The sequence below is a fragment of the Homo sapiens genome, chromosome 6 (assembly GCF_000001405.40).
Source record: "Homo sapiens chromosome 6, GRCh38.p14 Primary Assembly".
Classification (NCBI taxonomy): Eukaryota; Metazoa; Chordata; class Mammalia; order Primates; family Hominidae; genus Homo; species Homo sapiens.
The window spans coordinates 30879636-30901017 of NC_000006.12; the positions used below are offsets into that span (position 1 = coordinate 30879636).

At 55.9% G+C, this 21382-nt stretch overlaps 1 protein-coding gene and 1 non-coding gene across 59 annotated transcripts, besides 4 other annotated features; both read left to right on the plus strand.

Annotated features, from left to right (window-relative positions):
• Positions 1056 to 1984: an enhancer, noted in NCBI's record as "H3K27ac-H3K4me1 hESC enhancer chr6:30848468-30849396 (GRCh37/hg19 assembly coordinates)". NCBI's record gives its function as "activates a minimal SCP1, AML or CMV promoter by ChIP-STARR-seq in naive H9 embryonic stem cells {active_cell/tissue: H9 hESC(naive)}" and the evidence as "EXISTENCE:reporter gene assay evidence [ECO:0000049][PMID:30033119]".
• DDR1 (discoidin domain receptor tyrosine kinase 1) lies at positions 1335 to 20521 on the plus strand. Of its 58 annotated transcripts, XM_047419321.1 has the most exons (22): positions 3299 to 3348; positions 3629 to 3691; positions 4423 to 4510; positions 4903 to 5075; positions 5433 to 5596; positions 9053 to 9179; positions 9273 to 9375; positions 9567 to 9795; positions 11338 to 11485; positions 11745 to 11844; positions 12367 to 12553; positions 12661 to 12907; positions 13433 to 13528; positions 13637 to 13788; positions 14871 to 15036; positions 15769 to 15879; positions 16986 to 17230; positions 17379 to 17506; positions 17726 to 17962; positions 18438 to 18672; positions 19253 to 19402; positions 19521 to 20521. In XM_047419321.1, exons 5-22 carry the CDS (start codon positions 5585 to 5587, stop codon positions 19659 to 19661), a joined length of 2814 nt encoding a protein of 937 aa, XP_047275277.1. In that variant the 5' UTR covers positions 3299 to 3348; positions 3629 to 3691; positions 4423 to 4510; positions 4903 to 5075; positions 5433 to 5584; the 3' UTR covers positions 19662 to 20521. The 58 variants fall into 58 exon arrangements, with proteins under 58 accessions (XP_047275280.1, XP_011513186.1, NP_001374838.1 ...); NM_001387899.1 differs by lacking the exons at positions 3629 to 3691; positions 4423 to 4510; positions 5433 to 5596 and adding exons at positions 3446 to 3530; positions 5990 to 6045 and having other exon boundaries at positions 17744 to 17962; XM_047419322.1 differs by lacking the exon at positions 4423 to 4510.
• Positions 4419 to 5192: an enhancer, noted in NCBI's record as "H3K27ac-H3K4me1 hESC enhancer chr6:30851831-30852604 (GRCh37/hg19 assembly coordinates)". NCBI's record gives its function as "activates a minimal SCP1, AML or CMV promoter by ChIP-STARR-seq in naive H9 embryonic stem cells {active_cell/tissue: H9 hESC(naive)}" and the evidence as "EXISTENCE:reporter gene assay evidence [ECO:0000049][PMID:30033119]".
• Positions 5262 to 5769: an enhancer, noted in NCBI's record as "H3K4me1 hESC enhancer chr6:30852674-30853181 (GRCh37/hg19 assembly coordinates)". NCBI's record gives its function as "activates a minimal SCP1, AML or CMV promoter by ChIP-STARR-seq in naive H9 embryonic stem cells {active_cell/tissue: H9 hESC(naive)}" and the evidence as "EXISTENCE:reporter gene assay evidence [ECO:0000049][PMID:30033119]".
• Positions 6785 to 7291: an enhancer, noted in NCBI's record as "H3K27ac-H3K4me1 hESC enhancer chr6:30854197-30854703 (GRCh37/hg19 assembly coordinates)". NCBI's record gives its function as "activates a minimal SCP1, AML or CMV promoter by ChIP-STARR-seq in primed H9 embryonic stem cells {active_cell/tissue: H9 hESC(primed)}" and the evidence as "EXISTENCE:reporter gene assay evidence [ECO:0000049][PMID:30033119]".
• Positions 11248 to 11337, plus strand: MIR4640 (microRNA 4640). Its single transcript, NR_039783.1, has one exon. It is a non-coding gene; the product is annotated as a microRNA 4640 (primary transcript).

Below are 21382 nucleotides of genomic sequence, written 5' to 3' on the forward strand. Positions count from 1 at the left end.
TAGGCTGATCTCAAACTCCTGACCTCAGGTGATCCACCCACCTCGGCCTCTCAAAGCAAACTCTTAATAACAACTGTTGTGGAATGACTTGGGAGGTGGCACTCAGAGATCCCAAGTGACACATGAGAAGTCCACAGAGAGAGATCATGTTTAGTGGAGTTTGGATGGTTGCTTTTATCAGTGGGCCTGTACCTTACAGATGCTATCTCATTATCTTCTAAACAGACTCTGGGCCAGTGACCATTATCTCCCTCTTACTGATGTAGACTCAGCCAAGAGAAGCCAGATGTTGAGTCGGAACCTTAACTCTCCCTCTCAGACGCAGAGCCCTGCTTTCTCCCCTCCCATTTGATACTCTGCTTCCTCTTGCATGCTGTGAGAGGCGGCCTCATTACTCCTCTTCCCTCCTCCAGTCCCTCCAAGCCTAATTCATCACCTTTGGCTTTGGGATCATAGTTTCCAAACCAAGGATTGTCTGAACATTGTCTGACAATGCCCTTTTTTTTTTTTTTTAGGCAGGGTCTTGCTCTGTTGCCCAGGCTGGAGTGCAGTGGTGCAATCATGGCACACTGCAGCCTTGACCTCCCGGGCTCAGGTGATCCTCCCACCCAGCCTCCTGGTGCGCATCACCACATCCAGCTAATTTTGGTATTTTTTGTAGAGATGGGGTTGTGCCATGTTGCCCAAGCTGGTCTCGAACTTCTGGGCTCAAGCGATCAGCCCTCCTTGGCCTCCCAAAGTGCTGGGATTATAGGCATGAGCCACCGCAACTGGCACCATTGCCATTGGTATTTAAGAGGTGATGGTTTAGGCTTTGAAATTGGGGTTGTTTGTGAAAACTGAGAGCACCTTTTGTTTTCAGATATTTCCTATGGCCATTGGTGTAATTGGAGGGAAGCTCTCGCCATATATAATATTTTTGAGACAGCCAACTAAGAAACTGGGATTCTGGTTCTCTCCAGGGTGCAAAATCCTGGGAGAAGGAAGTGAATTCTCAGGGGCCCAGAAGGAGTCTCTAAAGGACCTCTGCCAGTCAATTCTAATCTCTCTTCTCCCCTGCAAATCAGCCCCTGCTTCTGCCTCTTTCTCCGCCTCTCCTAGATTCTCCCCCTCTGGAGGGCCTGAGCTCCCGGCCACCACCCCCAATGCCGCTTTCTGTTTCCTCTGCCTCCCTTCATCTCCTTTTGTCTGGGGTTTCTTTGTCTGGGGTCTCCCTTTGGTTCTGTTTCACAGTTCTCAGCCTCCCCTCCCTTTCTCCACAGCCAGGCTGCTCAGTCCCTCTCTGCGGGGGCCTAGAGGCTCGGTGAGGGGAGCGGGACTTGGTTGCCATGGTCACATTGAAGCCAGCCGCAGCTGGCCCGGGCAGCTGCTCCTCCTGGGCCCGGGGCCCCGGACGCTCGGACAAAGCCAGGCAGCGTTGGCAGCCCCAGACCCGACCCCAAAGGCCTGAGACTGGGGTGACTGGGACCTAAGAGAATCCTGAGCTGGAGGTGAGAGGGGGGAAGCCAGAGATGAACTGGGAGGGCAGGAGTGGGCACTGGAGCTGGGCCCTCCCCTTGTGGGCAGGGACCAGGCGGTCCCCGGCTGGAGGCTGGAGGTGTGTTGGGAGGAGGGGAGCGGCCCAGAGCCTGGCAGGGAGGAGGGGAAAGAGAGGGAATAGAGTTGGGTGCCATGGTGTGGTGAATGGGCTGAGGGACTAGGGTGTCCCCAAAGGGGGACCGTTGTCCAGAAACAGGTTAGATTCTCTCTTTGGTCCTCATGTCCCCATCTGTCCCGCAGGTGCCTCTTCCTTTCTCAGCCTTTTATACTTCTCATCTCCCCGTGTCCCTTAGCTTCACACTCTGCGCCCCAGTCTCCCTCCTCTTTCCCTCCACTCTCTGTTTCACTCCAGCCCCTTCTTCCCTTGTCCTTGCTTCTTGTCCCCTTGATCTGTCTGCCCAGCTCTCAAGCCTCCTCAGTTCCCTGCCTTCCTCTCTTAGGAGTTTGTTTCCAACACTGTTTCCTTCCCGAGTCCACTTCAGTTCCTTCATCCAGTTCAGCCCTTTTCTTCCCAAACTTCAGTCTCCTCCTCTGAGCCCCTGGGGCTTCCCACCTTTTGCTGTGTGTGCCCTGTCTTCATCCTCCTTTTCCTCTCTCAGACCTGTCTCCTTGGCCTTGACCTCAGTCCATCTCCGTCTCTCTGGGAATTCTCTCACCATTGTCCCCATCTGACCATCAGCCTCCTCTCCCTCTTCTGGTCCCTTGCCCTTTTCTTCCCCAACCACAGCTGAGCTGTTTCATCTCTCTCCCAGAGCTACGTCATCTCAATCTCCTCCTTCGCTCCCTGGCCTCAGTTTCCAGTTTATTCAGTGGCATCAGGTCTGACTCACACCCAAAGCCTTGTACACTCCTTCACCCTGCCCCCCACCCGTCGCTTCTTACTCTCCCCAGCTGCTGACCCAGCCTGCTCCTCCAGAGGCAGCTGCAGCTCCCGGAAGGGGACTGCAGCTAGTGTATGTGTGGGGGCCCATCTGGTCCGTCCTCTCGCTCGCTGGTCGTGCTGGGCTTCCCTCCTGTGGCCAGGTGGTCTGCAGGCCTGAAGCTGCCTTCTCCCCTCTCCTACGTGCCTCTCCTCACATTTTTTCAGCTGTTTCCCATCCTCTCCTTCCTGGGCAGCAGGCTGCCACTGGCTTGAAGGGGAGGGAAGCCCAGGATGGGAGGGGATGGTAGAGGGTCATTTGGGGGTTCTCAGGGACACAGGGGGCCTCTGGGGTTCGGAGTGATGCAGGAGATGTGGAATGGGCTCTGGGGACCACGGATGGGTAATCAGGCCCTCTTGGTCTTTGGTGCTGCTCTCTGGGCCCCAGGATGGCTGGGATTTCCCTCTCAGGCCCCTGGGAATCTCGGCTCCGAGTCCCGCATTCCAGCTGGCTCCAGCTCCCTTTCCGTTGTCACTTGACTCCACTGGGCCCCAGCCTTGCATCCCTCCCACTCCTCCAGCCTAGAGCTGGGGCGAGGTGGGCATCACCACTAGGAATTTCTCCTGAGGCAGTGAGAAGAGGGGACAAAGGTTTCAGGACTCTCTAGCTCCTTCTGCTCTCCCCAGTGGACCCCTCTGTCTGGCACTGCCATGCCACTTAGCTGGGGTCAGCGTGGGCCTGGGGTGTGGAATGTCCCACCAGGGTATGACGGGCTGTAGCTTGCCTGGCAGGCCTGTTGGGGCTTTCCCAGAGCACAGCTCCTGGAAGGAGGGGCTGTGGGCTGCCAGGTGAGGTGACTTGGGAAGCCTTGGCCCCACCCCCAGGCTGGCCCCACCCCCAGTCCAGCGTCTCCTGGGCCTAGATTCCCCAGCTGCTGTTCTCTGGAGGGGTAGGTGTTCTGGGGGAATGAATCCCTGGGGGCTTGGTGGGACAGGAAGGCGGGAAGAAGCTGCTCTTCGAGTGACCCTGGGGCTGTCTGTTAGCAGGTCCCTCAGCCGTTGGAACGTCCTTGGGCTTCTGAACTAGTGCCCATGTGTGCCTCGGCCTTTCCCAAGGGCCAGCTTCTTCCTGGTAGTGCTTTTGTGTACTTGTCTGGTTGGGACTTCGTGTTTCTTTCTTGGGATTGTTGTCTGGGACTGCAAGCAGGGTATGTTTTTATCTACTGTGAGGTTCCTGGGGCGGAGATGTGCAGTGGAGCGAGAACTTCCTGTGACCGTGACATTGTCTAGGTGGTGAGCAGGTGTGGGGGTGTGGAGAGAGGTGAGGGGCTGAGGTAGTGCTGAGTGGGGAAAAAGCACCTCCCACCACAAGCTGTTCTGTCCCGCTCCATCCTCTGCCCAGTAGCTCTCTCAGTTGCTTTGCCTACTCAGTCTCACTGTTTCATCTTCCCTGGGTCTCTTGGTCCCCTTCCTTTTGACTGTGTGTGATTTTCAGTGTGCCTCCATCCTTCTCCTGCTCCTCTTCTTCCTCCTCCCGACCACTCAACTTTGTCCTGGCCTCATTTTTGGCCTCTTCTGGCCAGTGATCAGACCCTCTGGCCCACTACGGCCAGAGCTGGCTGGGCCTGAGGGAGGCTTGCCCTGAGGACTCCTGAGTCCCCCTCCCACTCCACTCCGTTGGGAGCCCAGGGGAATCAGGGCCTGGGCGTCTGGACCCCCGGGTCCCTTAGAACGCCCTTCAGAGAGAGGAACTGAGAGGAGAAGGAGAAGAGAGTGGGCCCGCCTTCAGGGTCTGGGGCCTTCCAGGTTGGGTCGTAGGGGCGGGAGCGCACAGGCTGCGAGAGAGGAGCAAAGGTTGGTGGAGGGAGAAGAGCAGTCTGGGGCCTGGCTGGACAGGTGAGCCCTGAGACCTGAGCTCTGCTCCCTTCTCTGGGCTAACTCCCGCAGCTGGGCTGGGCCGAGCCTGTGGGAACCTGCTTCTTCCTCTGTGCCCTGGGGCTGCTCCCCTTTGCCTCTCCCACCAGGAACCGATCCCAGAAGTAGGAGGGGCGTCTTCCCCTCGTGGGCCCTGAGCGGGACTGCAGCCAGCCCCCTGGGGCGCCAGCTTTGGAGGTTCTCGTTTGGGGAAGCGGGGGTGGGCTGCGAGTGGGTGGAGGGGGCTGGGCGCGGAGCCGGCCGGAGGCAGCGGCGCGGGCGGCTGGGCGGCCTGGGAGCGCCCAGGCGGGCTTGGCGGGCGGGTTACCTGGGGGAGGCCGGGCCGGGCGCTAGCGCGCGGGGTGGGCGTGGCGGGCGCGGGGCCTGGAGCTCGGCGCCGGGCGTGGGAGCCACTGGGACTACTGGGTCCGGGAGGGGGAAGGGAGGGCTGCGAGCCCGAACGCGCGGCGAGAAGGCCGAGGGGAGGGAGGGGAGCGAGGAGCGGGAGGAGGAAGGGAGGGAGCCGAGGCGAGGGGGAGGCGGCGCCTGGGCCCGAGCCGCCCCAGCCCTGGCTCCTCTCCCCGGAACAGGCCCCCGACAGCTGCTCTCGGGAGCCGCCTCCCGACACCCGAGCCCCGCCGGCGCCTCCCGCTCCCGGCTCCCGGCTCCTGGCTCCCTCCGCCTCCCCCGCCCCTCGCCCCGCCGCCGAAGAGGCCCCGCTCCCGGGTCGGACGCCTGGGTCTGCCGGGAAGAGCGATGAGAGGTAGGGAGAGCGGCGGCGGAACCCGCGGGCGGAGGCCTGGGGCTCTTGGGGTGGGGGCGCGCGGCGGCGCCTGCAGGGCGAGGGGCGGGGGAGGCAGGACGTCCCGAGCCATGCTTGGTCGTCCAGCTCTTCTAAGCCTCCCTGCCCGCCTCCCCGATGCTCTGGCATACCGTCTGAAAACCGGGGGCGGGGACTGGGTGGAGGTGAAGCCCGTGACCTCCCAGAAAGAGTTTTGAGCCTCCAGCCTTGAGGCAAGTCCCCTCTCACTCAGTGCGGAGGAACTGAGCCCCGGGAGGAGGTGCTCCTGTGCAGCCCCACTGAGTCAGCTCATCTATCGCCTGCCCTCCACCTGGCCAGTCCCTGCGGGCATCTAACTGCTAAGCCTCCGCTCAGCCAACACCCAGTTGGTCAGTCTGGTCACAGTCCAGCAAAAAGAGGGACTGCCACTCTAACCCACCAGTGACACCACTCTTCCCGGCTGGATGGTCAATTAGCTCTGGCATGAGAGAATGTCACTGCCGGTGAGCGCCAGCTTCAGGGTCCCACCCCCCCATGCCTGGCTCTTGGCTGAACATTTCTTCCCAGCGCTTCCAGCAGCCAGAGGCAGGCGCCCAAGCTCGCTGGCTGTTGCTGAGGGCCTGTAGGTGTGTCCAGGACTGAGTGGTGTGGTGGAGACAGGTGAAAGGGGAGTGAGTGGAAAGGCAGGGAAAGGCTGTTGTCCTTATTGCCACTCTTCCCACCCAGCGCCCACCTGTTCCCTGCCCCCTCGACGTCCCTCTGGCTTGGTCACCCATGTGTGTTAGAGGCTGGGCCCCAGTTCTCTGGGGATCCTGTGCCCAAGGGCCCGGGTGTGTGTGTCTCATGCTGTCTTTTGGTCACAGGAGCATGTGGTGTCTGTCATTTCATGTTCACAGGTGTCTGAAGGTGGCTATTCACTGAGCGATGGGGTTGGACTTGAAGGAATGCCAAGGTGTGGACGGGTTGATGTATGCATGAGCTTCTGTGTTTGCTCTGTCTCAGAAACTCTGTGAGGGTTGTCAGGGACACTGAGAGGTGGGTGTGTGCATGCCACATTTAGCCTCGCTGTTTACAGCCAGTTCAGTAAGTTTGTGTGTTTCACCGTGTGTGTGTGTACAGAGCTGTGTGGGTGTTGTCTGAGTGGGACTTGGGGGTTGGGAGAGGAGCGTGAAGGGCTTGAGGCAGGGTGGCCTGGCCCCTGGTTTGTCTTTGGTTGTAATGGAGTGGAAGGGGGTGGGATTGGGGAAGGTCTTCTGGGCTTGTCCTCTCTTGCCCTCTGGGTCTCTGACTGTGGACTGAAGACCCAGTGGAGAGAGATGAGGTGACTGGGGGTGTTGGAGAACAGACAGCCCAGACGTCTCTGTGCTTCTCCGTGTTCCTCTGCTTGGCTCTGTGCCCCGTGTTTCTGAGCCTGCTCTATTTACCTCTTGCATTGTGGCTCTCGCTCTGTCTCCGCCTGCCTCGTATCCTCTGCCTGCCTTTGTATCTCTGCCCCGGGCTCCTCTCGGCTCTGTGTGGCTCTGATGACTCATCTGGGATAGGCATGAAGGTTACTTAGGGGAACAAGAGCCCCGCTGTTCCCGAGAGAGGTGGGGTTGGAGAGCGGCACCCAGGAATTCCAAGCCAGTCTCCTGGGACTCTGGCAGCCTGCTCCCCGGCGCTGGACCCTAAGGGACCAGGCGTGATGCCTTCTGGTTCTAGCCTCTGAGTGCCCCCCACAACTCAGTCGTCCCCCTCAGCTGCTGCTTCAGAGCTCTGGGGTCTCAGCTGCCTCTTACATTCCTGCCCTAGTGCATTGTGGGAGCAGCTGGAGGAGGACAAAGGGATGGGGGAGTATCCCCCACTCCTCCTACCTCCTGGGGTGACCTGCCTTCCTTGTCTTTAGACCCGCCCTCGTCTCCAAGGCAACTCAGCCTTTCCTCAGTCCCTCAGAGGCAGCCACCTTCTGGAAGTGGGAACTGGGGGGACTGGATGTCTGGGTCTCAGGAAGGCAGAGCAGGGATAACTGGGCCCAAGATGCCCTGAACCTGATAAGAGGTGGCAGTCGAGTCCCTCAGGACTCCAGGGCCTGGAGACTTCAGTACAGGGCTCTGAGACCAGTACAGGTTAGGATAGCTTTTCCTGCAGCAGGGGAGGGGAGAGTAGTTACTTGGGTTTGTAAGGAGATGCCATTTAGAATAGTTTTATGTGGGGTAAGCTTCCTGGGCCTGAGGAACAGAGTAGGGATTTTCAAACTTTAATGGGCACAGGTCACCTGGGAATTGTGTTAAAAGGCAGATTTTGATTGAGCAGGTCAAGGGTGAGCCTGAGATTCTGATTTCTTCCATGCTTCCAGGTATTGCTGATGGTCCAGGGACCACCCTGGGCCTAGAGGGCTATAGGGGACAGTAAGACTAGAAGGTGCTGGGGTCCCCTCTGCCCTTCTCTTAGAATTCTGGACTCCTATGTGGGAGGGCAGCAGGGTGAGCTGGTCCAGGCTTATCTGATGTTTAATTCTATCATATCCTCAACAAGGAATTGCCCAACCTTTCCTGGGACATATTTATTTTTTAAAAGTCAAAATGATTTTCATATTCTTTTACATATCTTATGATTTTACATAAATGCATTTATGTTACAAGATTTAGAAAAATAGTACAATCAACCTGTCTTTTTAAATTTGCTTTTCTTTTGCCCCGTTCATGTTAACTCTTGTTATATTGTATTCTATTGTTATATTCTATTATATATTCTCTCCTTCTAGACGTACACACAGGTATATATACAAACATGGGTGCTTGTTTATTCTATTTTCAAAAGGTGGGATATTTTTTATACTTCTGTTGCTTGCTTTTCATATTCAACAGATATACATGGAAATCACACAAAGTTAGGAATATATTGCCTCTTTGTTACTTTTCATAGCTGCATAGTAGTCAATAAACCTTATTTTTTTTAATTCCAGCCTGTCCCCTGTGGGCATTCACATATCTTACAGATTTATGTCTTACAAAAGGTACCATAATAAACATCTTTGAAATCTTCTTTTTTATTTTTATTTTTCACTTTTTTTAAAGAGATGGGGTCTCACTATGTTCACCAGGCTGGTCTCTAACTCCTGGCCTCAAGTGATCCTCCCATCTCGGCCTCCCAAAGTGCTGGGGTTACAGGCATGAGCCACCAGACCCAGACCTGCACATATGTTCTTACTTCCTGGTGCTTCTCTCTCGAGGGAATGCTGGGTCGAAGAGGATGTGCATTTTTAATTATAATAGACATTGCTAGATTGCTTTCCAAATAGAAGATAACACTCATTTCTGCCATTGAGCATGGTGCCTCCCTTTTCATCACTTTCTACCACTTTTATATGTTACAGCCTTAAAAAAATATCTTGTCAGTCTGCTTGGTATTTCCCTGAGGCTGGTGAATTTGACCATTAAAAAAAATGTTTGTTGGCAATTTGGCTTTGCTTTTCTGTGAAATGACTATTCACATTCTTTGGCTGTTTCTTTATTGGGTTACTTATATATTTTTTCTTGTCAGTTCCTAAGGGGCCTTAGTTTATTGTAGTTATTAAACCTTTTCCTGTTGTATGTGTTATAAACATTTTTTGCACACTTGTTGTTTGTTCTAAGCCGTTGTTTATGGGGATATTTTGCCCATTCCTGATTGGAGAAATGGGGCTTTAGGAAGTTATTTAACTGATCTCTGCCCTAGTTTCTTCATGTGTTAAATATGGATAGTAATAGTATCTACCTTATGAAGTGACTGTGAAGATAAAATTATGGATTCTGTTTAAGGGTTTAGGCCAGTGTCTGGCACAGGGGAAGCATTCTAAAAATATAGCTGATGCTGTTAAACAATGACTGTTGTTGTTGTTTTACTGTTATTATCCCCAAAGCGGCCCATTCTGTCTGTTGCTGTCAGCTATGACTCAGTCCCCTGATTAACTTACGCACCACCCATTTTATCCCCTGCAGAGATGCTGCCCCCACCCCCTTAGGCCCGAGGGATCAGGAGCTATGGGACCAGAGGCCCTGTCATCTTTACTGCTGCTGCTCTTGGTGGCAAGTGGAGATGCTGACATGAAGGGACATTTTGATCCTGGTGAGGAGACTGAATCATGGGTCCCTGAGGGCCAGGGCTTGGGAGGTAGAGAGTTGGGGGCCTTGACCTGTTACATGCCTGCTTTTTACTCAGCCAAGTGCCGCTATGCCCTGGGCATGCAGGACCGGACCATCCCAGACAGTGACATCTCTGCTTCCAGCTCCTGGTCAGATTCCACTGCCGCCCGCCACAGCAGGTACTTGGCACACCTGGCACACTTGTAGCTGCCCCGAGAGGAGCTCCTGGGACCTCTACTTCCCCTCCAACCCCTCTGCCCATGCCAGTGAAACCCCTGCAGGCTGAGGGGGCAAATGAAGTGGGGTTTAAATACTGGAGATGGAGGCAGACCTGGGGCCAGATGTTCTCTGTGCCCCTCTTCACCCTCAGGTTGGAGAGCAGTGACGGGGATGGGGCCTGGTGCCCCGCAGGGTCGGTGTTTCCCAAGGAGGAGGAGTACTTGCAGGTGGATCTACAACGACTGCACCTGGTGGCTCTGGTGGGCACCCAGGGACGGCATGCCGGGGGCCTGGGCAAGGAGTTCTCCCGGAGCTACCGGCTGCGTTACTCCCGGGATGGTCGCCGCTGGATGGGCTGGAAGGACCGCTGGGGTCAGGAGGTGAGACTGGCAGGGGCAGCACCCAGAGGAGGTTGGCTCTCCTCACTTCCAGCTGTACTTTAAACACCACCTATACGCTGACGACTCTCCAGTTTATATCATCTCCAGACTAAGCCTCTCAGCTGAGCTCCAAACAATATTGTAAACCTGGCCACCTTTTGGATTTCTCCACTTAGATGTCTTTTTTTTTTTTTCTAATAGATGGGGTCTTGCTGTGTTGCCCAGGCTGGTCTTGAACTCCTGGGCTCAGTGATCCTCCCACCTTAGCCTCCCAAAGTGCTGGGATTACAAGCACTGTAGCCAGCCACCTAGATGTCTAATAGGCATCTCAAACGTACGTTTAACTTCCCAAGCTGAATTTGATTCCCATTCCCAGCCTAAACCTGCTCCTCCCCTGGCATTCTCCAGCTCAGGAAGTGGTATCACCATTGCCTGGTTGCCTAGGCTATAAGTTAAGATGATATCCTTGATTCCTTTTTTTCTCTCACCTCCTTCCAAAGCATCAGCAGCCCCGTCTGTTCTACCTCCATAGTGTTCCTGAGTCCAGTCACTCCTCACCACTCCACCTCTACTGCCCTAGGCCACCTGCCCGCCATCTCCAGCTTAGATGAGTGCAGTAGATGCCAAACGCGTCTCCCTGCTTCTGCCCTTTTCTGCCTGGAGTCAAATCTCCACCTGGGGGGGCGGCATCCAGTGGACCTTAGAGCATGTAAATCAGATACGTCACACCTAGCTGACACCCCCATGCTGGCTTTCCACTCTGCCAGAACAAAAGCTGAGTCCCTAGCTGGTGCAGGATGCTCAGCCTGACCTGGCTCCTGCCTGCATCACTTGTTTCTTGGCGCCTCCTTGGCCACGCTGCCTTTCTTCTTGTTGCTGGAACAAGCCAGGGCTCGTTCCCACAGCTTCTGGACATTTTCTCTGTGCCTGCAAAGCTCCTCCCCTAAATAACCACAGGCTCTCCCTCACTCCATTCAGTTCTCTGCCAGGTGTCACCTCCTTAGAGAGCCTTTTCTGGCCACCCACCTCACTGCTCTGTCCATACTTCCTGCCTCTTGTTCTTCGCAGCTGTTTTCCCTGCTGGGATCTCAGTCCTACAAGGGTGGGGAGTGACGTTCACCACTGAGAACGCGCCTGGCACAGAGCGGGCACTCAGCCAACTTCTGCTGAATGAACAGAGGGAATGGGCTGAAATGAAGGGGAAGCTGAGGCAGGGGTGCAGGGCTGTGAGGATTGGGGAGAATCTGGGCACAATGGGATGATAGGCTTGGAGACAAATGGATGGAGCCAGGCAAGGAGAAGAGGGCAGCTGAGCCTGAAGTCTGAGGATGGAACATCAGAGCTGCGACAGAGCCAGAGGTCTCAGCTGCAGATCTTCATTTCACCCATGCCTGGCTGCGCCCCACAGTGCTGTGTGCTCGGTGCCACCCCTCATGGGTCTCTAAGTGGCCACTGTGGGCTGGGCCAGGGAGCAGCTGGTGGGTGGGAAGTAAGATCTGACCTGGACTCCATCCCACCCACCCCCTGTTTCCTGGCCCACAGGTGATCTCAGGCAATGAGGACCCTGAGGGAGTGGTGCTGAAGGACCTTGGGCCCCCCATGGTTGCCCGACTGGTTCGCTTCTACCCCCGGGCTGACCGGGTCATGAGCGTCTGTCTGCGGGTAGAGCTCTATGGCTGCCTCTGGAGGGGTGAGTGGCTCAGCTTCCTGGGAATCTGTTTCCTGAGCAGGGGACTGGAGGGTGGGGAGTGTGGAGAATGGGCATCCAGGATCCCTTCTCCTGCTGGGAAGCTGTCACTCTGAGGAGGGGGCTAGCCAGCATTGTCTCCTCCATGCCAATGAGCCAGTGGAGAGATACAAGAAGGGACCTGAAACCTGCCCAGGCCTGATGCAGGGATGGGGGATGGAGCCTTAGTGCCTCTGACCCCCATCCTCTCACCCTGCCCCAGATGGACTCCTGTCTTACACCGCCCCTGTGGGGCAGACAATGTATTTATCTGAGGCCGTGTACCTCAACGACTCCACCTATGACGGACATACCGTGGGCGGGTAAGAAAGGCCCCTGCAGGATATGGAGTTTGGGGTGGGAGGGAGGACTGTGTGTGTGTGTGTGTGTGTGTGTGTGTGAGAGTGTGTGTGTGTAGGGGGGCTGGTAAGTAGGGTGGGGAGTGAGATGGAAGAGCTGAGAAGAGGGATGGGTTAGGTGGGGCCTCAAAGGGTAGCACTAGGGTGACCACTAGCCCGTATGACACTGTATGAAAAAGGCACCCCTTTGCTAACACACATTGTTGGAAATTGCTGCAATAAATATACACATCATAGATTGAAATGGTGCCCCTTAGAGGTGGTGCCTTTGTGCTGGATGTGACCTGCAAGGTACCTGTAGTGCTGGGGTGGGGTGGAGAGAGGAGAAGGGCCAGCTGCATGAGTGTGAGGTGGGATGGGAATGGGACTAGTGGATGGGAGCCAGGCTGGCCATGCCACTGTGCCGGAGGGTGGCGGAGCAGAATGCCTGGATGTCAAGACCCTCTTCCCTTCCAACCTCCTCTTCCTTGGTCCCCTCTTCTCCAGACTGCAGTATGGGGGTCTGGGCCAGCTGGCAGATGGTGTGGTGGGGCTGGATGACTTTAGGAAGAGTCAGGAGCTGCGGGTCTGGCCAGGCTATGACTATGTGGGATGGAGCAACCACAGCTTCTCCAGTGGCTATGTGGAGATGGAGTTTGAGTTTGACCGGCTGAGGGCCTTCCAGGCTATGCAGGTGAGTGAGTCCGGCTCTCGAGGAGGGCTCTGAAGCCATGCAGGGTGCCGTTGGGGTGCCCCCACCACTCCTAGCCTTGACCCTGTGCCCTCTTCCCTTCCCCCCAGGTCCACTGTAACAACATGCACACGCTGGGAGCCCGTCTGCCTGGCGGGGTGGAATGTCGCTTCCGGCGTGGCCCTGCCATGGCCTGGGAGGGGGAGCCCATGCGCCACAACCTAGGGGGCAACCTGGGGGACCCCAGAGCCCGGGCTGTCTCAGTGCCCCTTGGCGGCCGTGTGGCTCGCTTTCTGCAGTGCCGCTTCCTCTTTGCGGGGCCCTGGTTACTCTTCAGCGAAATCTCCTTCATCTCTGGTAAGCCCTGGAGTAGCCCAGTCTCCAGTCCCTGAAATTGACAACTGATTTCATTCCTAACCCTGCAGTGTCCCTAAAATACTCATTCCTTGCATTATATCTACCCATCACCCACCGAAACTTCTCAATTAGGGGTGCCCCAAATAACTTGAGCCCCTTTCTGCCTCTTGTTCTCTGCGTATCCATCTTTCCTTTGTAAGCCCCTTGCCCGTGACTATTATTGAGCCAGTATGACAGTACTGGTTGTTAAAATATTGAAATACTTCTGTATTAGTTGAGAAATAGCCTCTTCTCTAAGCCTCCAGATACCTGTCCTCCACCTCCCCACAATCCAGCAACTATAGGGTTAACACCCACCACAGCTGGGTGTTCCAGGACCCTGCTCCCCCAGCCCCCACTGGTCAGTGGTTGCCTATTGAGAATCACCCATGCTTCTGCTCCTTTGCACAACAGTCCACTGCCTCTGCCTCCCTTGGGTCTCCTCCTCATTTACCTCCCTCCTTTCTTTTTGTTCCTTCTCCCCAGATGTGGTGAACAATTCCTCTCCGGCACTGGGAGGCACCTTCCCGCCAGCCCCCTGGTGGCCGCCTGGCCCACCTCCCACCAACTTCAGCAGCTTGGGTGAGCAATCTTGGGTGGGCGTGTGGACCCTCTGCACCCTTCTCCCTGGGCCTCCCCCTCGGCTAGGGTGGGACCCTCCTGTGGTGCTGACCCTGCTGCCTCCACCAGAGCTGGAGCCCAGAGGCCAGCAGCCCGTGGCCAAGGCCGAGGGGAGCCCGACCGCCATCCTCATCGGCTGCCTGGTGGCCATCATCCTGCTCCTGCTGCTCATCATTGCCCTCATGCTCTGGCGGCTGCACTGGCGCAGGCTCCTCAGCAAGGTGGGCACAGCCGTGGCATGTGGAGTGGCGGGGGGAGGCCAGGCCCCAGCACGAGCCAGCGTCCAGTGGGACCTGCAGGGCACAGCCCACTAGCATCCCAAGAGGAGGGCTTAGTAAAGAGACCACTTACACCATGTCAAAGAGGGTATGGGGCTCACAGGGAGGGCTGCTCCCCAGCTCTGGGTCTGCTCAGCGGAGAGGAGCAAATACCACGACCCAGAGGAGAGAGCCTGTGGAGAGGGCACCTTGACAGGGGCAGTAGACTTTGGTCCTGGGATGCAGCTGGCCCGTATCTACCCCTCAGGGAGGGCCTGGGAGAATAGATGCCCTGACCTCACTTTCTGCCCCAAACTCCTGCTGGGCTCCTCTCTGGCTAACCCAAACCAGGCCTGTTGGTGCAGTGTACACTGGTCAGCCTTGGGGCAGAAGCAGGGTAGAGACAGGCAGAGAGTGGGGTTGGAGGGGCAAAGGGAAGACGTCTGGCACACCCCAAGCCACGTCTTCCGGCTGGAGTCCAGTGGCAGTAATGTACATTAAGGTTGATGACTGGACACGGTGGCTCATGCCTGTAATCCTAGCACTTTGGGAGGCCGAGGCGGGAGGATCACCTGAGGTCAAGAGTTCGAGACCAGCCTGACCAACATGGTGAAATCCCATCTCTACTAAGAATACAAAATTAGCCAGGCATGGTGGCTGATGCCTGTAATCCCAGCTACTCAGGAGGCTGAGGCATGAATCTCTTGAACCTGGGAGGCGAAGGTTGCAGTGAGCTGAGATCATGCCATTTCACTTCAGCCTGGGCGACAAGAGCAAAATTCCATCTCAAAAAAACAAACAAACAAAAAAAAAACGGTTGATAGTTATGGACTGGGCAGATGAGGGTTAGAATCTCATTGTGGGACAGGGAAGTTACCTCCATGCTCTTGAGCTTCACTTTCTCTGCCTGTAAGATGGTGCTGATAGTATCCACAGCTGTAGGGCTCTTGTGAGGGCTGAGGGAGGGAACGCAGGGATGGACACAGCAGAGGGCCAGGCCGTGTGTGCTGAGCAACACGGGTGATGCCTCCCATCCCTATGACAAGGCTGAACGGAGGGTGTTGGAAGAGGAGCTGACGGTTCACCTCTCTGTCCCTGGGGACACTATCCTCATCAACAACCGCCCAGGTCCTAGAGAGCCACCCCCGTACCAGGAGCCCCGGCCTCGTGGGAATCCGCCCCACTCCGCTCCCTGTGTCCCCAATGGCTCTGGTAAGACCTGCCTTGTTCCAGTCGCACCTCTGTCCTCTCTGCTGTTTTCTTATTGTATCCCTTTCCCATTCTCTTTTTTTCCTGTCTTCCCCAGTTTCCACTTGTTTTCTTCTTTCTGTGCCCCTGGTTACTGTCTATATCACTCTTTGTCCCTACCATGTAGTCTCTCTCAAGAGTTCCCCATGTATTACCCATAGTCCCCCGTGGTGCTATCTTGTCTGTGTCCCACAGACATCTCTCTATCTTTGTTGTACCCTCTCATTGTGTCTCCCTGGCCCCTTTGCTTTGTATTAGACTCACCATGTTTGTTCCTTCATCTATCCTCCATCACCCATCCTTCCATCCATAGTCATACATCCTTGCATCCATCCATCAATCTTCCATCATCTGTCTTTCTATCTATATTCATAAATCTATTCATCCATCCATCCACCCACCCATATCCATCATCCATCTATCCATCTATATTCACACATCCATCTTTCCATCTGTTATCCATCCATCCAACAAAACATCTGTTTACCATCCATCCATCTATTCATACGTCCCATCTGTCCATGCATTCATTATCCAGCCAGCCGTCCGTCACTCTGCAGATCCTTGTTTTATCCTGTCTGTCTCTTAATGCAATCATCCCATCAGCCCTGGTCTTGCCCTATTCAAGGTCTCCCTGTCTGTCTAGCCTTGAGTCTCATCCCTTCCCCGTGTTTCCCCTCCTCCTTCTCCCGACAGCGTTGCTGCTCTCCAATCCAGCCTACCGCCTCCTTCTGGCCACTTACGCCCGTCCCCCTCGAGGCCCGGGCCCCCCCACACCCGCCTGGGCCAAACCCACCAACACCCAGGGTAAGCCCCTCTGCCCCTGGGCTCCGCCAGGCTCCCCATACCTCTACTGGGGCAGGGAAAAGCCCTCACACCTTGCACTTCCTCCTCTCCCCACTGTGGCCTATTCTGCTCTCCTGAGCTCCCAAGGAGGAAGCTCTTGTGCCCTTAGCTCATCTCTGCTGCTGCTTGCTCTTTTTTAAGGTCCCCCCCTTGAGCTGAGGAGTAGAAAGCTTACTGGTCCCCAGCTCTTCTCCCTCCTCCTCTTCCACGCCATCTCTTCAGCTCTCCAGAGCTAGACAGGAGGTTGCTGTGGTGGCCCCAGACTATAGTAACTCCTCCTTTATTCTCCACTCTCTCTAGAGCTGCGAGGAGGAGGGCTCTCACCCCGGGCGCTTGCCCTTTCCCTCACATGTGTCCTCTCTCTGCAGTCCCAGAGGTGAAGGCTCATGCCCCAACCCTTTCCATCTGCCCCTCTTCTCCTCAGTGTTGCCTTCTCATTGTGGCCCCTTCCCCAGGGCTAAGAGGGGACAGCTCTGCTTCCTCTCCTGTCTGTAGACAACTTGTGTTGGGGCTGTGAGCAGCTGTTACCCTCCCTCCTCTCTGTGTGCCTCTGTCTCTGCTTGTTGTTGAGCTTGGTGTGTTGGGTTGAAAGGGTTGGGAGGGCTTGGCCCCAGGGGGAGCCAGGCTGAAAGCCACGGGAGAGCAGCTAAGTGAAGGGGAGGGAGCTGTGGTGAACGGGACAAGGGTTTGGAAGGTGGAGGGTGCCTGGATGCTGGGACCATCCTGAGGCGGGAGAATTCCTGGGGAGGAATTCTTCTTCCAGCCAAGATTTATCTCACAGTCTCTTGAGAGACCCTAGGGAGGCCCTAAAAGAGTAAGACTTTATGACAGTTTTGCTCAACCATATTCATTGCCTTGAAAAGCTCTGGAATAGCTAACTCTCGTCCCATGCCAGTGTCTTCCTGGTTTGAGGTTGGCGCATGGAATACTGGGAAGATACAGCATAGACCCAGTCTCTCACTCAACCGGGAGACACAGGGCCCTCCGGGAGGCTGAGGTGTGGGGAACTATAGCTCTTGGGCTGTTCCTGATGCCTCGTCCTGTCTTCTTTCCCCTCACCCCTGCAGCCTACAGTGGGGACTATATGGAGCCTGAGAAGCCAGGCGCCCCGCTTCTGCCCCCACCTCCCCAGAACAGCGTCCCCCATTATGCCGAGGCTGACATTGTTACCCTGCAGGGCGTCACCGGGGGCAACACCTATGCTGTGCCTGCACTGCCCCCAGGGGCAGTCGGGGATGGGCCCCCCAGAGTGGATTTCCCTCGATCTCGACTCCGCTTCAAGGAGAAGCTTGGCGAGGGCCAGTTTGGGGAGGTAAGGAGGGTGCCTACCCAGTGTCTGGCCCTATTGTGTGCTCTGATGCCATGCCTGCGCATCCCCCTAGCCAGGAACCTTAGTCATTTGTAACCGTGTTAATCCGTTTGACCCTGTGACCGCCTAGCAAACGAACTTCTTTCTCCAGGTGCACCTGTGTGAGGTCGACAGCCCTCAAGATCTGGTTAGTCTTGATTTCCCCCTTAATGTGCGTAAGGGACACCCTTTGCTGGTAGCTGTCAAGATCTTACGGCCAGATGCCACCAAGAATGCCAGGTGAGGACCAGGGATGGCATCTGGAAGAAGGGAGGGGAGGCCGTGAAGAGTGGGGAGCCATCTAGAGAGAACAATGGCAGAGCCCAACAGAGGGGTGGCATCTCTGGGAGGGGATTTACATGTACGCTGGGGGTGGGGACGCCTGGTCTGCCTGAGGTGGGGCAGGGGGGTGGGGGCGCGGGGGAAGGTGCAGGCCGCCCACTCGGCATTCCTCTTCAGCTTCTCCTTGTTCTCCAGGAATGATTTCCTGAAAGAGGTGAAGATCATGTCGAGGCTCAAGGACCCAAACATCATTCGGCTGCTGGGCGTGTGTGTGCAGGACGACCCCCTCTGCATGATTACTGACTACATGGAGAACGGCGACCTCAACCAGTTCCTCAGTGCCCACCAGCTGGAGGACAAGGCAGCCGAGGGGGCCCCTGGGGACGGGCAGGCTGCGCAGGGGCCCACCATCAGGTACCTGCTTACCCAGGCTGGGCCTTGCTCAGAATTCCCCCAGGGGATCTCCTCCTCTCCCCTCGCTTCAGCCTGGAGGAAAAGAGGGGAGCGTGGGGGTGGGAAGGGAGAGAGGTTCCAGGAGGGCCTGGGATAAGGAATGTGTGACAAGTTAACCCAGGAACATGGACAGAAAGGCTGGAGGTGACTATGCAAGAGTGGTGAAGGGACTTGGGCCCTGCCATGACGTCCCTTCTGCTTTCTCTCACCCTCACTCCCCTCTGAGTCCAGATTGGGGAGCACAATAAAAGAAGAGCCCCCTAGTGTTGGCCAGGCCTGGGAGATTGAGAGGGAAGTGACCCTTGGCCTCACGTGGGCATTCCACCTCCACATGGGGAGCCAGAGTGACCGGGCCCGGGGAGTGGGCTCTCTCTCCTCTCCTGGATGGGAATCTGCGAAGCTGCCCCCAGTGACCTTCTGTCGGTTCCCTTCTCAGCTACCCAATGCTGCTGCATGTGGCAGCCCAGATCGCCTCCGGCATGCGCTATCTGGCCACACTCAACTTTGTACATCGGGACCTGGCCACGCGGAACTGCCTAGTTGGGGAAAATTTCACCATCAAAATCGCAGACTTTGGCATGAGCCGGAACCTCTATGCTGGGGACTATTACCGTGTGCAGGGCCGGGCAGTGCTGCCCATCCGCTGGATGGCCTGGGAGTGCATCCTCATGGTGAGCAGCCCGAGGACAGCCAGGTTGGAGCAGGGCAGGTGGGAGAACACTGGCCGCCACTCACAGCCCTGGTCTCCATCAGTCACACACTTTCTCTGGGTTGCATTTTACAGAATCTCATCTATAATATGAGGTTCTCCTAGCCCAAGGGACTGGGGAAAGCAGGAGCTGCAGTGTGATGGGCAAGAATCCAGGAGCCAAGAGTGGGTACTGGGGATGGAGACAGGGTGGCAGAGAGCTCAAGAGATGAGGTTGGGCGAGGAAGCTGGAGATAGAAGGGGTTGGGTAGGGAGACCGAAGGTCAGGACCAGAAAGTGGGGGTGGATGGAGAGGAAGGAGGAGCAGAAGGAAGAGGTGGGCCAGGGCCCTGGAGAGAGGACCAGAGCATGGAGAGGAAAGGCAGAGCCCAAGGGAGAGGAGTTGGAAAAGGTGGCCAGCGGAGGAGAGTGGAGAGCCTGGCGTCAGGAGGGATCAGGCCTGAGTGGAGCCCAGAGTGGATCTGGGGCTTCCAATAGGAAGGGAGGAGGGTCTACGTTGCCTGATGTCCCTGTCTGTTTTTGCTGCCTTCTCTGCATCCCAGGGGAAGTTCACGACTGCGAGTGACGTGTGGGCCTTTGGTGTGACCCTGTGGGAGGTGCTGATGCTCTGTAGGGCCCAGCCCTTTGGGCAGCTCACCGACGAGCAGGTCATCGAGAACGCGGGGGAGTTCTTCCGGGACCAGGGCCGGCAGGTCAGAGTGGAGGAGAGGGAAGATGGGTCCGAGGCGGGGGACAGAAGGGGCAGAGTTGTCATCTTGGAGACTAAAGAATATTTGTTCCCTGACTCTCATCCACACTGCCACAATGCAGGTGTACCTGTCCCGGCCGCCTGCCTGCCCGCAGGGCCTATATGAGCTGATGCTTCGGTGCTGGAGCCGGGAGTCTGAGCAGCGACCACCCTTTTCCCAGCTGCATCGGTTCCTGGCAGAGGATGCACTCAACACGGTGTGAATCACACATCCAGCTGCCCCTCCCTCAGGGAGCGATCCAGGGGAAGCCAGTGACACTAAAACAAGAGGACACAATGGCACCTCTGCCCTTCCCCTCCCGACAGCCCATCACCTCTAATAGAGGCAGTGAGACTGCAGGTGGGCTGGGCCCACCCAGGGAGCTGATGCCCCTTCTCCCCTTCCTGGACACACTCTCATGTCCCCTTCCTGTTCTTCCTTCCTAGAAGCCCCTGTCGCCCACCCAGCTGGTCCTGTGGATGGGATCCTCTCCACCCTCCTCTAGCCATCCCTTGGGGAAGGGTGGGGAGAAATATAGGATAGACACTGGACATGGCCCATTGGAGCACCTGGGCCCCACTGGACAACACTGATTCCTGGAGAGGTGGCTGCGCCCCCAGCTTCTCTCTCCCTGTCACACACTGGACCCCACTGGCTGAGAATCTGGGGGTGAGGAGGACAAGAAGGAGAGGAAAATGTTTCCTTGTGCCTGCTCCTGTACTTGTCCTCAGCTTGGGCTTCTTCCTCCTCCATCACCTGAAACACTGGACCTGGGGGTAGCCCCGCCCCAGCCCTCAGTCACCCCCACTTCCCACTTGCAGTCTTGTAGCTAGAACTTCTCTAAGCCTATACGTTTCTGTGGAGTAAATATTGGGATTGGGGGGAAAGAGGGAGCAACGGCCCATAGCCTTGGGGTTGGACATCTCTAGTGTAGCTGCCACATTGATTTTTCTATAATCACTTGGGGTTTGTACATTTTTGGGGGGAGAGACACAGATTTTTACACTAATATATGGACCTAGCTTGAGGCAATTTTAATCCCCTGCACTAGGCAGGTAATAATAAAGGTTGAGTTTTCCACAACTGTGTGAGTGGGTTCCTTGGGAATTTGGTAACTCTGCCTCCTGCACCTCCCTCTGAACCCACTTCCCAACCCACTTCCCATCTTCCTTTTTTCCTGCCTCCTCATTCCATTTCCCATCACCTGTTTTGCCCAGCATTGTGTTCTGTTTCTGGATAATCCAGGCCTTTGCCTGTGGGACCTCAGGAGATGCATGAATGTCTGAGTGCATGAACCTTCTCAACTCAGAGGGGTGCTCTGGTGGAGGCCTGGAAGGAATGCAGTCAGGCCAGGGGTGCTGAACCTTTTTTGTGCCATAAACGCCTTTGGCAGTCTGTAGAGGTCTACTGAGTCCTCCTCAGAATTAGGTTTTAAAACCTATAAAATGGACCAGGCATAGTGGCTCACCCCTGTAATCCCAGCACTTTGGGAGGCTGAGGTGGGTAGATCACTTGAGGCCAGGAGTTCGAGACCAACCTGGCCAACATAGCAAAACCCCATCTCTACTAAAGATACAAAAATTAGCAGGGTGTGGTGGCATGCGCCTGTAATCTCAGCTATTCAGGAGGCTGAGGCAGGAGAATTGCTTAGAACCCGGGAGGTGGGGGTTGCAGTGAGCTGAGATCACACAACTGTGCTCCAGCCTGGGCAACAGAGTGAGACTGTCTCAAAAACAGAACAACAACAACAACAAAACCCATAAAATGTATAGGATTATAAGGGAAACCAATGGAAACAGTTTACCAAAATGCTAAAAAATTATGAAACTAATGTGCTTCTTTTTCATGTATTTAATAACAAGATCTAAAAACAGGTGTAATAAACTGACATTTTCCAAATACTAATGAGCATAAGCCATATTTGAGATTTCTACAACAGTCACA